This window comes from Homo sapiens, chromosome 5, assembly GCF_000001405.40.
Source record: "Homo sapiens chromosome 5, GRCh38.p14 Primary Assembly".
NCBI classification, from domain to species: domain Eukaryota; kingdom Metazoa; phylum Chordata; class Mammalia; order Primates; family Hominidae; genus Homo; species Homo sapiens.
The window spans coordinates 20,890,752-20,906,831 of NC_000005.10; the positions used below are offsets into that span (position 1 = coordinate 20,890,752).

Here is a 16,080-nt window from a genome sequence, read left to right on the forward strand (position 1 = left end):
TGTCAGGAGATCGAGACCATTCTGGCTAACACGGTGAAACCCCGTCTCTACTAAAAATACAAAAAAAATAGCTGGGCGTGGTGGCGGGCGTCTGTAGTCCCAGCTACTCAGGAGGCTGAGGCAGGAGAATGGCGTGAACCCGGAAGGGGGAGCTTGCAGTGAGCCGAGATAGCGCCACTTCACTGCAGCCTGGGCGACAGAGCGAGACTCGTTTCAAAAAAAAAAAAAAAAAAAAAAAAAGATAATAAGGCTGAGCACTTGGTCTCAAACTGGACATTTGGGGCTAAGGTCAGAAGAGAACCTGCCTAATGTAGTTAAGCTAGCCACGTATCATCAGCAGTCAGAGTTTAGCTAGATGGGGTTGTTTTTGTGGAGCAAACGCATTTTAATGCCAGCAAAGTTATGGAAATTTTTGGCTTCACTACATGAAGTCTATTAGGGAATTTTTCACTTGAAAATATTGGCTAGGTATTTAGCCTTTAATATGGAAGTTAGCCATCAACAAAATAAAATATAAAGCCCACTGCAGGCAGCATTCCTTGCCAAAAACATCTAATTTTTGTCATGGGACATGATCAACAATCTTTGGTTAGAGGGAATATTAATTATTTGGGACCACATCATGCAGAGATAATTTAGTCCTTCACAGAGCAACTTCTGTTGTTCTATATAAAGCCCTTTGGCAGCAATAATAGTTCCATTTCACACAATAAATTTGTGAATTGGAACCATATCTGAGCTGTCACTATCGCACCACATCATTTCAAGTATTTTTTAAGGCTAACATGACAGCGAAGATTATCCAAGGGGAGTTTTTGATGAAAATTGGATAGTAGCATCCATTATATATCTTGATCACTCAACATATCTAGAATACAAGGACTTTGATGGCAAAGACCGTTATCTCTTTTGTTTACTGTGGTGTTCCTAGCGTTTAGCAAGAGTATCTGATACGTGATAACTATTGTTGACGGAATCACTAAGTTAATACAGCATTCTCTATTCAAAAAAAATGTAGTTGGTATGTCCGTATAAATAATGAAGCAGGTATTTATTTGAGATATAGACAATTAGTTATTAAACAAAGAACATATTAAAAGCACTACTCTCTATAGATCTGTTCTGATGTAGCTTTTACTCATTATGGAATTGTCCAGACAGGTTTTCTCCTTCTAACGTAAAACAGAAGCCAAAATGTTTTATCTAAATAATACAGTTAAGTACATATGTAGTTAAAACACACAGAAAACATGTAAATGTTAAAAACACCTTAAGTAATAATATTTATGGAAATATGATAATATAAAAATTCCAAAAAAATAGTATGCATTACACTTTATTTGTATGATAAGAAAGTGTGGGGACATATAGAACAGACAAAAATAAAAGATGCCTCCTTGATTCCTTTGTTAGGAAGCTGGCTGCACTGTGGCAAGTGGTGTGATCCTAGAAGTCATGGTTTACAAAGGATAATCAGAGGATACTTTGGGGCTGACATTGAGGATATTTACTACTTATCCAAATGTAGATGTACAAGAGTTACTTATATTCATTCACGCATTCAGAAACTACTTTTTTAATAGCATAGTTTGTTGGAAACTGTCCTAAGTGTTAGAGAAAGAATTAATCCAGAGAGAAACATTCTTGCTTTCCAGATAGAAAAAATAATATTGAGATTGCCAAAGAAACAGGAAAGATAATTTTTTGAAATGGAAAGAGTTGTCAATATTGTTTATTCACAGACAATTTAGAAACTCAAAAATACCCTTGAACTTAGCTGCACACAGGTCACTATTGGCTTTGGCCAGAGCAATATACATAAAGAGATGGAAGTAGAGGCTAGATTCTGATTTTCCAATTTGCAAGGGTTTCATACTGACTGCTGTAACTCATAGTTTGTTCTGGTAAATCACACCACTGAAAATTAGAATATTTATTTAGGCAAGGAGCAGAGGTAGAAGGCATGCAGTGAGACATGGTGATGGTGTACTATTGTCTCCTTCAACTTCTTGTTAAGTATATTTGGATATATGGAATATTTAATTTTGGTGTGAAAATTAAGCAAAATAATACAACCATATGCACAGTTTAAAGATCAAAGATGCTGTTCACTAAAATGTAGATTAAAATGGCACTGGCCCAGTTTGAGACAAAGTATTCTGAAATAGAAAATTCTTTAGTACACTCTGAAAATGCTTTTTAGCAATTGCTTTATTACTCTAGTGCTTCAGTTTCATCTCCTCTTCATAATAATTGATGAAAGAGTTTATGATATTACTAAATTAGCCACCATTTATTTTGTAGAGATAGAGCAAATGCAAGCTTTATTATATCAAACATCATATCAGTTCCTTAGTATTTTCTATTACTTTTCCTGGGAACAGTAAAAGAAATAGAAATTTATATTGGATTTCTGTGGGTTCTGGAGTTGTTTTGTTGAGCCGTATTTTCTCAAAAAGTAGAGAATATAATGAATTGATTTTTATAGGTAAAATCAATATTATATATTGATTACGCAAATTATATTACTATATGACATGTAAACATATACTATATGACATGTAAACAAACTTTATTTTATATGAACATGTGCCTAATATATTAGCTATTTTGTAAACTATATGCATACATATGTGATATGATTTGGCTATGTCCCCACTCAAATTTCATGTTGCATTGTAGTTCCCATAATCCCCATGTGTCGAGGGAGGGACCCAGTGAGAGGTAATTTAATCATACGGTAGTCACCCTCATGCTGTTCTTGTGATAGTGAGTGAGTTCTCATGAGAGCTGATGTTTTTTTAAGGTGCTTTTCCCCCGCTTGCTAGGCACTTCTCTTACCTGCTGCCATGTAAGAGGTGTCTTTGCTTCTCCTCAGCTTTCCACCATGATTGTGAGGCCTCCTCAGCCAGGTGAAGCTATGAGTCCATTAATCCTATTTTTCTATATAAATTACCCAGTCTCATATATGTCTTTATTAGCAGTGTGAGAACAGACTAATACAGTACCTTGATATCAGGAGTAGGGTGCTTCTATAAGGATATCTGAAAGTGTGGAAGCGACTTTGGAACTGGGTAACAGGCGGAGGTTGGAACAGTTTGCAAAGCTCAGAAGATAGGAAAATGTGGGAAAGTTTGGAACTTCCTAGAGACTTGTTGAATGGCTTTGCCCAAAACTGTGATAGTGATATGGACAATGAAGTCCAGGATGAGGTGCCCTTAGATGGAGATGAGAAACTTGTTGGGAACTAGAGAAAAGGTGACTCTTACTATGCTTTAGCAAAGAGACTAGTGGCATTTTGCCCCTGCCCTAGAGATCTTTGGAACTTTGAACTAGAGAGAGATGATTTGGATATCTGGCAGAAGAAATTTCTAAGTGGCAAAGTGTTCAAGAGGAAGCAGAGCATAAAAGTTTGGAAAATTTCCAGCCAGATGATGCAATAGAAAAGAAAAACCCATCTTCTGGGGTGAAATTCAAGCCAGCTGCAGAAATCTGCATAAGGAACGAGGAGCCAAATGTTAATCACTAAGACAATGGGGAAAATATCTCCAGGGTATGTCAGAGACCTTCATGGCAGTCCCTCCTATCACAGGCACAGAGGCTGAGGAGGAAAAAATGGTATTGTGGGCTGGGCTCAGGGCCCCTCTGCTGTGTGCAGCCTAGGGACATGGTGCCCTGTGTCCAAGCTGTTTCAGCCATGACTAAAAGAGGGCAAGGTATAACTCATGCCGTGGCTCCAGAGGGTGCAAGCCCCAAGCCTTGGAAGCTTCCATGTGGTGTTGAGCCTGCAGGTTCACAGAAATCAAGAGTTGAGGTTTAGGAATCTCTGCCTAGATTTCAGAGTATGTATGAAAATGCTTAGATGTCTAGGCAGAGGTATGCTGCAGGGGAGAGGCCCTCATGGAGAACCTCTGCTAGGGCAGTTAGGAAGGAAAATGTGGGGTTGGGACCCCCACACTGAGTCCCTAATGGGCCTCTGCCTTGTGAAGCTGTGAGAAGAGGGCCACTGTCCACCAGACCCAAAAATGTTAGATCCACTGACAGCCTGCAGTGTGCCTGGAAAAACCACAAACACTCAACGCCAGCCTGTGAAAGAAGCCAGGAGAGAGGCAGTTGTACCCTACAAAGTCACAGGGGCCAGCCTGCCCAAGGTCGTGGCAGTCCAGCTCTTGCATCAGAGTGACCTGGATGTGAGACATGGAGTCAAAGGAGATCATTTTGGAACTTTAAGTTTTAATGAGTGCCCTATTGGATTTCAGACGTTCATGGGGCCTGTAGCCACTTTGGTTTGACCAATTTCTCACATTTGGAATGGATGTATTTACACAATGCCTGTACCCTCATTGTATCTAGGAAGTAACTAACTTACTTTTGGTTTTGCAGGCACATAGGCAGAAGAAACTTGTCTTGTCTCAGATAAGACTTTGGACTTGGACTTTTGAGTTAATGCTGGAATGAGTTAAGACTTTGAGGGACTGTTGGAAGGGCATGGTTGTGTTTTCAAATGTGAGGACATGAGATTTTGGAGCGGCCAGGTGTGGAATGATATGGTTTGTCTGTGTCCCCACCAAAATCTCATCTTAAATTGTAGATCCCATAATCACCACATGTCAAGGGAGGGAATGGTGGGAGGTAATTTAATCATGGGGGCAGTTACCCTCATGCTGTTCTTGTCATAGTCAGTGAGTTCTCACAGGATCTTATAACCCTTTTCCCCCTTGTGCTCCACAGTTCTCTTGCCTGCCACCATGTAAGATATGCTTTTACTCTTCCGCCTTCCACCGTGACTGTGAGGCCTCCCCAGCCATGTGAAACTGTGAGTCTATTAAACCTTCTTTTCTTTATAAATTACCCTGTCTTGGGTATGACTTTATCAGGAGCATGAGAACAGACTAATGCAATATGTTAAAAAGTATAGAATATAATCACCTGATTTTGATTATGTAATACTTAACTAATTAAGAGGGGAACTCCGTTATTCCTTAAACAGTTTAAAATGGATTAAAAAAAATCTTTTTTGTATTGTCTGGTTATTTGATTAGCTTGCTGTAGAAAAGCAGATACAGCTCTAAATTTGTATTTATTTGAATCATGTAATGCATAAGCTTATGTACAAATTAATAGAATGAACATTTCTCATGCTTATGTAGTTCATGCTGACTATATTTCATAAGTTATGAGTTTTATAACTTATAAGTCTTTTTATATCCCATTCCTTCATTTGGCTTGGAAGTTGCATACCTTTTTATAATTATCTTATTTTTATGATTATATTTATTAAACATGCATTTCAAGTTTGTCAAGTCTAATGTTAGTGTATTCACTTTTTTCTCGGTCAATGCAAGAACCTTCAAAATATTTATGTGTAGTCCGTACTATTCAACTTAATGTGATTGTCATTCTGTATTTCAATAGTAAATATTTGATTTAATTTCCAAAGAATATATTAAATAGTCATAATTTTTAGTTTACTGGCATAGTTAGCATCTCCATGGCTCATTATTTCTCTCTGGTCCCTGCCATCCCCGTGTCTATGACTTAACTTTGCTTATATTATTTCTGCCTTTAGTATTTCCGTTGATGCTGGTTTGCTTTCAATCTTTCTCTCATGTTTTCTTTCTATAAAATATTTTTATTTCAAGATAAGCATTTTTATTTTATTAGTAAAATAAAAGAATACTTCTTTTAAAATATTGTTATGTTGTTTTATGTATGTTTTATTGATCTAACAAAATCTTCACCTCATATTTTATCTCCTTAGTAGCTGCAGTATTTGAAACTCCCATGGGTCTGTTTCTAGTGTCGGTTGATCTTGCTACATGTCATTTAACATTGTCTTTCCTCCTCGTAGGTCTGGTCATTTTTGATTGAGTGTAAAAAGTGCATTTAAACAATATTTTAAAATAGTGTATACTAAGAGGATGTTTTTCCTTATGCTATAACTTGATTACTTGTTTCAGACATCTTAGGCCATTAACAAACTAAAGTCATGATATTTTAATTTGAGGATTAAAATGATTCAAGCTAGTTTTTGGTTAAGTGCCAGAATATTACACCTGACTCAGGGTGACAAAATAAAATTTGGTGAGGGTAGGTTAGCAGGGCTGCCTTGCAGGCCAAGTCTGGTCTCCAAATTTTGTCTACATAACCCCACTGGGCTCTCAAAACTCATCTCAGGCTTTCTGCTACATCTTTCATTAGAGACAAATACATACTGAGGAAAAGTAGTTCCAGATACTAGCTTCAGATCTCAGAATGTGTTTTACCTTCTTCCCTGAAAAGGTGGCCCAGAAATTCTTGGCAATTTTATGAGCCCTTTGATACCTAGGAGCAGATTTTAAAAGCTCCATTATTACCTTCAATAGGAGAGTTGGCCTCTGTTACTTGATCCACCATTTCTAGACATAAATGTCTTACGTATTCTTCATAAGATTTCTTAAAATGTTATTTGACTACATTTAATCATTGATAGGGCAAAGAAAATAAAATAATTTTGATAAAAATAACTTGACAGGAACACTTTGTTTTTCTAACTGTTCCTCTCAAGAGCTTGGTTACAATTTATTTTTAGGGTCATTATAATTTCCTGCACAATGGCCAATACAATGTTTTATATACAGTAGACACATTACATAGACAAATGCAAAGCTGAAATTTTACGCCTAACTAGTTTTTTAATTTTTTTATAATGTTAATTTACACCCACAATTAGAGTCCATTCTCTTTCATAAAGTATGTTATTTGTGTAAATAAAAGACTTGAAAAAAATGTCTTGAAAAAAACTAAGAGCTTTAGTAATTAAATCTGTCCATCTGAATTTTCCATACATTTTAAAGAGAAAAAATATATAATAGCAATCTTTTTTTTGAAAGTGTTTTGTACCTAATAGTAACACATGCTTCAGAAATACTGTTATATGATTAGCATTTCTAAAACACACATATAACAATAACAGCGAAGAAAAGCAAAAGATAACTCAAGATAAATTAGTTGTCATTATCTATTTATTTCATTTTGTGGCTTAGAGTGAAGATGATAGAAGTAAAAAAAAGATAATTTACTATAAAATGAATTTGAGGAATATACCCAAGTGAATTTAAAACAGAAATATTTATTTTAAAACAGTATAGATAGTTCTACAATAATGTTCATAGAACATTGTACATCCATGTTCACAGCACCATTCATCGCAATAGGCAAAAGGCAGAAAGAACCCAAATGTCCTTGAATGGATGAATAAACAAAATGTGATATATGCGTACAATTGAAAATCATTCAGCCTTAAAAAGGAGTGAAATTCACACACATGCTACAACATGGATGAACCATGAAGACATTATGTTAAGTGAAATTACCAGACACAAAAGCTCAAATATTGTAGGATTCCACTTATGTGTAGTACCTAGAATAGTTTAATTCATAGAGAAAGAAAGTAGAATATTGGTTACCGGGGTGGCAGGAAGCAGAAATGGGAAGTTATTGTTTACAGAACTCTGGCTACAGAGTTCCAGCTTGGGATGACAAAAAATGTTCTGAAGACACACAGTTAGTGAGGATTACACAAAATAATGTGAACGTACTAATGTTACTGAACTGCAACTTAAAATGGTTAAGATGATACTTTTCATATTATGTACATTCTATCACAACAAAAACTTAAAAATAAATCCTTTTCTACCTCACTTGGCCTAAGAAGTGCAGAAATTGAATTAATTGTCCTAACATGTCTGCATGTAGTAAAGGATAATTTGATTCCAAAGGAAAAAAGCAAATGCTGGTCCCATAAGAGTCAATGCATTTTTTTCCCCAAAAAGGGCAGAACTGGACACTTGAAATATTATAGAATAATAAGATTCAATATTTCTGGCTGGACACGGTGGCTCACGCCTGTAATCCCAGCACTTTGGGAGCCCGAGTCGGGCAGATCATTTAAGGTCAGGAGTTGGAGACCAGCCTGGCCAATATGGTGAAACCCTGTCTCTACTAAAAATACAAAAATTAGCCGGGCAAAGTGATGGGCACCTGTACTCCCAGCAACTCGGGAGGCTGAGGCAGGAGAATCACTTCAACACGGGAGGCAGAGAAAAAAAAAAGATACGAGGTTTCTGATACCAGAAAGCTCACCATCAGGCTGATACATATAAGTTGTTTTCTGGGTTTTTTTTTTTTCTTTCCTTAATTGCAATAAATCTGTATTACTCAAGGCCGTGATTGTGTGCTGTTTAGATCACTGAGACATCTAAGCTATTTGTAGCTCTTTGGAAACTCCTATGCTTGGATCCAATATGTGCACATCTGCTTGAGACAAATGTGCATTGAAAAAAGGGTAGGGAAGTAATACACTTTCTGCAAATGAAGACTGCATCTCAAAGGAAAAAGGAGGAAGCCTGTCTCTTGGGACTATAGGGAACGTTTGGACAGTGGGGATATATTCATTTGGCCTCTGTGATCCAACAGTGAACATTCTAACATTTCTCTATACTGTCCCCATCCCAAAAGCTACATTCAAGTCCCCAGGATCAGAAATAAGTTTGTCATTTTGGAAACTAAAACTATGTTGACTTTAGTTTGGTTCGCGCAGGTGGCTCACGCCTGTAATTACAGCACTTTGGGAGGCCAAGGCGAGGGGATCACGAGGTCAGCAGATCAAGATCATCCTGGCCAACATGGTGAAATCCTGTCTCTACTAAAATACAAAAAAATTAGACAGGAGTGGTGGCGGGTGCCTGTAGTCCCAGCTACTCGAGAGGCTGAGGCAGTGGAATCGCTTGAACCCAGGAGGCGGAGGTTGCAGTGAGTCAAGATCGTGCCACTGCACTCCAGCCTGGCGTCAGAGGAAGACTCCGTCTCAAAAAATAAATAAATAAAATAAAATAAAATAAAATAAATTTAAAAAAAGCAAAAGAAACATGTATACATGTATACCTTATTTCTATTCAGCATTAGTTTATTGATGTCAAGTTACAAAGTATGTTATATTGACTGAGATCAGTGAGCTTAATTTCAGAGGTTTGGGCACTGAGATTGCGCTCTTCTTAGATTGTTAATTACTGTGGGTTATCAATGTATATTTTATAAAGTGAGATTTTTAAAACCTTATTGATAAATTATATCTAATCCTGTTTTTCAAGTATTTTAAGTATCTAAAGACTACAATGGTCAGGAATTATCATAAGCAATGGTGACAGAAACATAATAATATGATTCAGTATAATAGATACCTCACATTAATAAAGAAAATAAACAATGCTTCAGTTAGCAAATGTATGCTACAAATAATATAAAATTATGTTATAACCGTGTTAAAAAATAAATCTATATCTTTACATGGTTGAGAAGTCCAGAAGTAGTTTTGGCTTCAAAGAAGGCCCAATATATTGACCCAAACAGAATGACAACCGCAGTATTCTTAATTTCTCACTTCAGAATCTGAGATTTTTTTCGGGGAGGGGAGGAGAGAGGAGAGAGAGGCTCAGAAGGCAACACAGTGAGCAGTTATGTAGTTAACATATATTCCATATGTAGTTGCGGACAATAAATAAATACTCATAAGATGCATTAATTCTCCTTAGGAGTTAGGAGGATCAAGGGTAGCAAAAGGGAAAATTGCTTGTATTGAGTAATTGCATCAACCAAAGAGCTGTGGAATCACAAAATATGTGTGCCATACACTTACGTATATACTTATTCAATTCTATGTATGCTGTGTGTGTATGTGTAGAGCTGTTAAAGAGCAGAAAGCCTTAAAATTATTTTAAAACATATACATATGTGAAAATTCTATATTGACAATACTTAAGAGTAAGACTCCATCCTACCACTCTCTAGCTGTGAATCTTGAAAGAGTTTCTTAAACTTTGTGTGCCTCAATTTCTGGAAGAACTCACTCACAGAGTTGTGAGGACAAAAATAATTCATATTTCTAACGTGCTACTCACTGGCAAAATAAAAAGTCATGGGACTGCGTAGTATCAACAAATCAGTGACTTTTTAATGACATATTGTCAAACTTTTTTTTTGCGTCCGAGGAATATGATTGTATGTTGAAAAGTAAACCAGGAATTGCAATTTCAATATCGAGGTACAAATAGAATTATCTCTTTTATTTTCATTTTGTCCTTTCAATATCATTATTTAATCCTCCATGAATTGAAAAGTAATATAATATTTCAAAGAAAAATAAGTCATGTCTCAATATGTATAGATTTATTTTAAATGTTAATTTGACCATTTGGAAGGTCAAAATTGTATTTTTCATTTATTGATATTGCATACTAACATCTTAGAAAAAACCAGTTCAATTAAGCAAAAGCGTTTGACATTTTAAAATGTTAAATTTGTGCTTTATTGTCCAATATAATGAATAGATTGCCAAAATACTCTGTCAATTTTGAATTATTTTAAGAGAAAGAGCACAGCATGAATGACAATATTTTTCTTGAAATTTATAAAGCTCGAGGCAATTAAACAAAGCCATTTTATCACAGCTAAGAATGAGATAACCCCATACTTCTGAGAAGTAGAGATATATTGGTCCTGAAGGAAAGTTTAGTTGTTTTTAGATGGTAGGAGTTGAATATAAATGGAGTCTGGTGATTAATTATAATTCAAATTTCCTGTTTTCAAATGTATCATATATTTGCAAAGAAAAAAAACCACAGCATTTTATAGAGATTAAATGTATTATATTCTAGACTGTGACCAGCCCTTTTATCTACACCTGAACTATCAAAAACTAACATAAACAACATATCTTTAGATTATATGTTTAGAGAGAAAAACATGAAGTGAAATTCACTATGTTGGTATTTCAGAGTAGGTTTTGGTCTCACATTCACAATCTAGAATCTGTTCCAAACCCAGCAAGCTTTCCTTGTTCAAGTACTCTCTATGTGCAAACATCATATGTCTGAAAAAGGAGGACAAAAGAGAAATATTTAATAGGTTACACAAAGGAAAAAAATGAACAGACAAAAGATATACCTAACAAACACCATCAGTTATTTCCTTCTGGCCTCAAAATAGCATATTATGTGCTACTCTCTTACCCACGTGTTCACCTTGATGATGCTTGATGCACAATATAAATGCTTACATTTACAATGCTTTTCATTTCTACTTTTCTGTTGGTGAGCACTAAAAGAAATCCTCCAGGAACACTATTTTCTCATTAAGTACAAGTCAGTGGCAACTATTGGCTGGGGAAGCAAGGGGAGCTCAGAGTGACACTCTATGAAGGAAAGGTGGTGGGTAGGTCCTGCTTCCTTCTGAAGAGGGAGGAAACACTGAAAGACAGTCTTTAGGCACCGTAGGCCTAAGAAGTGGCAGTCTACTCTGAGGGAGGGAGGGAAGACAAAGGGCCAGGGAGGACCACTGAAACAAACCCTCCAAGTTCTGCTCATGGTAAGCTTTGATTACCCAAGTGTATTATTATGAAGTTACTGAAGCAAGCAGAAAAGTTGCAATATTTGTACAGTGAACACCAGTACACTCACCACTTAGATTCTACCAATAACATACAACTTATCATGTATCACTCTATCTATCCATCTTATATTTTTGTAAGGCAGTTAGAGACATGAATACACTTCTCTCCAATAATTCAGCATACATAGTACTAATTAGGATTCAACTTTTTTTTTAGTAATTGTTTAATCTGAACATAGAATGAAATGTGAAAATGGTAGGTATACCATTTGCTGTTTGGTAGTCATTTGAATATTTTGAGAGGAACCTGCCATGTCTGTTTACCCCTTTTTAACATATACACAAACACAGATATAGACACAAATGTATCTGAGGTATGATTTACTATATAAAACATACTATCTTAAGTGTATGACTTGATCATTTTGACAAATGAATAACCATTATAATCCAAAACAACTATTAGACAATTCACCATTTCCATCACCCCAGAAAATTATTTTTCTTTTTCACTCAATCCCTTGAATGTCCTCCCCCAGACCAGTAAACTAGTTTTCTCTTTTTTCCAAAAAAAAGTTTCACCTATAATAAAACTTCATATAAATAGAATACATACATTTTTGTGTACAATGCCTTTCATTACATATTTTTTGAGATCTACTCACATTTGTGCATGTACCAGAAATTTGTTTTGTTTTGTTGCTGAATAACATTCCCTTTTATGGAAATATCACCATCGTTATGGGGTATTTGATGGACATCTGGAATATTTCAGATATTTGAATTTTTAGTAAGAATTATTTGAACATTCTTATATAAATTTTTGTGTATGTATGGCATAGTTTTTCATATTTTTATGTAAATAAGAGTGAAATTATCATAAATAATAAAGTAGGCGTATTAGTTCATTTGTGCTGCTATACAAATACATGAAGCTGTGTAATTTATAAAGAAAATGGGTTTATTTGGTGCATAGTTATATAAGGTGTACAAGAAACATATGTTGCTAGCATATGCTTTTGGTGAGGGCCTCACACTGCTTTCACTTATAAAGAAAGTGAAAAGAACCTGGTGTATGCAGAGATCCCAAGATGAAAGAAGCTACAAAGAGTGAGAGGTTACATGCCAGTTTATTTTTAACAACCAGTTCTTGTAGGAACTAATAGAACAAGAACTCACCCGACACCCTCCCCTCAAGGGAGGACATTAATCTGTCCTTCAGGGATCCACTTCTAAGACTTCTCATTAGGTCCTATCTCCAACATTGGGGATAAAATTTCAACATGAGGTTTGAAGGGAACAAACATCCAAATTATGGCAGCAGGTATAATTTTAACTTTCTAATTAATAGCTAACTATTGTGCAAAGTTACTAAACAATTTTACACTCCCATAGTCTATATTATAGTACAGATTTCCTCCACATTCTTGCTAACATTTAGGATTGTCTTACTTTTGCATTTTTGCCATGTCATTGGGTAAGTAATCTTGCTCTATTGTGGCTTTAATACACATTTACTGTGATAATTATGTTATTATCTTTTATATACTTGTTGGCAATATGTATAGATTCTTTTGAAAAATATCTTTCAAGTTTTTGTCCATTTTTAATTGGGTGGTTTATCTTTAAAAATTATACATGCATGCACACACACAGGCAAGTATGTGTGTGTATATATGGGTGTTTGTGTGTCTGTGTGTGTGCATACAATATTCATTTTCAACCTTACAAAATGTTATATGCATGTATTAGGCCATTCTTGCATTGCTGTAAATAAATACCAGAGACTTGGCAATTTATAAGGAAAGAGGTTTAATGGGTTCATGGTTCTGCAGCCTTTATAGAAAGCATGGTGCTGACGTCTGTTCAGGTTATAGGGAGGCCTCAGTTTGCTTATAATCATGGCAGAAGGCAAAGGGGGAACAGGCACATCACTTGGTAAAAGCAAAAACAAGTGAGAGAGAGAAGGGCGGGGGAGGAGCCACACACTTTTAAATGACCAGATCTTTGAGAACTCACTATCACAAAGACACCATCAAGCAATGAGGGATCTGCTCCCATGACCCAAACACCTCCCACCAGGTCCCACCTGCAGTAATGGGGATTACAATTCAACATGAGATTTGGGCAAAGACAAACATTCAAACTCTATCATTCTGGCCAATGATATCTCCCAGATCTCCTGCCCTTGTCAAACTGCAAAACACCATCATGCTTTCCCAACAGTCTCTCAAGATCTCTACTCATTCCAGCATTAACTCAAAATTCCAAAGTCTCATCTGAGACAAGGCAAGTCCCTTCTACCTATGAGCCTGTAACATCAAAAATACGTTATTTATTTCCAAGATACAATGGGGGTACAGGTATTGGGTAAACATTCCCATTATAAAATGGAAAAATCATCCAAAAGAAAGGGGCTATGGGTTCCATGCAAGTTCAAAACCCAGAAGGGCAGTCATTAAATCTTAAAGCTCCAAAATAATCTCTTTTGACTCCATGTTCATATTCAGGGCACTCTGGTGCTAGGGGTGGGCTCCCAAGGCCTTGGGCAATTCTATCCTTGTGACTTCACAGGGTATAGCCCCTGTAGCTTCTCTCACAGGTGGCTGAGTGCCTTCAGCTTTTCCAGATGCAAGATGCTGGCTGCCAGTGGCTCTATATTTTTCAGATCCAGATGACAGTGGCCCCCTTCTCACAGCTCCACTAGGAAGTGCCCTGATAGGGATCGTGTGTGGGAGCTTCAACCCCACATTTCCCCTTGTCACTACCCTAGTAGAGCTTCTCTCTGGGGTCTCTGTCCTTGTAGCTAGCTTGTGCATGGACACCCAGGTCTTCTTATATATATCCTCTGAAATCTAGGTGAAGGCTGCCCAGAATCCACCACTCTTGCACTCTGTGCACCTGCAGGCTTAATGCCACGTTGAAGCCACCAAGGCATAAGGCTTGCATTCTCCAAAGTGGCAGCTTGACTTGTACCTGGGCCCCTTTGAAGCCTGGCTGGAGTTGGAGCTACAGCAGCTGGGATGGGGGAGCAGTGTTGCAAGGTTGCCAGGGCAGCATAGCACTGAACCTGACTTACAAACCCATTCTTTCCACCTTGGCTTCTGAGCTTGTGATAGGAAGGGCTGCTGTGAAGGTCTCTGCAATGCTTTTGAGGCCTTTTCCCCATTGTCTTGTATATTAGCACTTGGCTCTCTTTTAGTTGTACAAATAGTCTCTAGCAAGTGGTTGCTCCATAGCCTGCTTGAATTCTTCTTGCAAAAAAGATTTTTTTTTTCTTCTGCTACATGGCTAGGCTATGAATATTCCAAACTTTTATACTCTTTATATGTTAAGTATAAATTTTAATTTTAAGTTGTTTCTTTGCTCCAGCATCTGGATTTAGGTTGTTAGAAGCAGCCATGACACATCTTGAACACTAACACTTTGCTGCTTAGAAGTTTCTGGCCAGGTGCAGTGGCTCATGCCTGTAATCCCAGTACTTTGGGAGGCTGAGATGGGCGGATCACGAGATCAGGAGATTGAGACCATCCTGGCTAACACAGTGAAACCCTGTCTCTACTAAAAATACAAAAAAATTAGCTGGGCATGGTGGCAGGCCCTGTAGTCCCACTTACTTGGGAGGCTGAGGCAGGAGAATGGCATGAACTCGGGAGGCGGAGCTTGCAGTGAGCCGAGATCACACCATTGCACTCTAGCCTGGGCAACAGAGCGAGACTCCATCTCAAAAAAAAAATTAAAATTTAAATTTAAAATAATAAAAGAAATTTATTTCACCAGATACCCTAGGCCAGCACTCCCAAGTTCAAACTGTCACAGATCTCTAGGGCATTGACACAATACAGCCACATTTTTTACTAAGGCATAATACGTGTGATGTTGGCTCCAGTTCCCAAAAAGTTCCTCATTTCCATGTGAGACCTCATCAACTGGGACTTTACTGTCCATATCATAATTAACATTTTGGTTACAACCATTTAACTTTCCCTCATCTTCCTATCTTCTTCTGAGTTCTCAAAACTCTTTCAACCCGTTCCAAAGTTGCTTCCACATTGTCAAATACCATTATTGCAATGCCCCAATCCTTGATAAGATTTTCTGTATTAGGACATTCCTGCATTGCTATAAAGAAATATCCAAGATTGGGCAATTTAAAAAGAAAAAAAGTTTTAACTGGTTGACAGTTCCACAGACTTTACAGAAAGCATAGTGCTGGCATCTGCTCCTCCTCTAGAGAGGCCTCGGGAAGCTTATAATCATGGCAAAAGGTGAAGAGGGTGCAGGCATGCCATATGGTGAAAACAGGGACAAGTGAGAGAGAGAATGGGAGGGGGTGCCACACACTGTTAAACGACCAGATTTCACAAGAACACTCTATTGCAAAGACAGCACTGAGCCATTAGAGATCCACCCTGATGTGGTTTGGCTCTGTGTCGCCACTCAAATCAAATCTTGTAGCTCCAGTAATTCTCATGTGCTGTGGGAGGGACCCAGTGAGAGATAATTGAATTGTGGGAGCTGGTCTTTCCTGGGCTTTCTCATGATAGTGAGTGAGTCTCACAAGATCTGATAGTTTTAAAAAGAGGAGTTCTGCTGCACAAGCTCTCTCTTTGCCTGCTGCCATTGATGTAACATGTGACTTTCTACTCGTCT

General features: G+C 37.2%; 1 long non-coding RNA gene across 1 annotated transcript in view; it reads left to right on the plus strand.

The window, feature by feature from the left end:
* Window positions 1–16,080, plus strand: part of LINC02241 (long intergenic non-protein coding RNA 2241) — a 325,854-nt gene that overhangs the window by 278,912 nt on the left and 30,862 nt on the right. The window contains exon 6 of the long non-coding RNA NR_149120.1: window positions 4,732–4,816. This is a non-coding gene — a long non-coding RNA (long intergenic non-protein coding RNA 2241). The remainder of the gene's footprint in view (window positions 1–4,731; window positions 4,817–16,080) is intronic.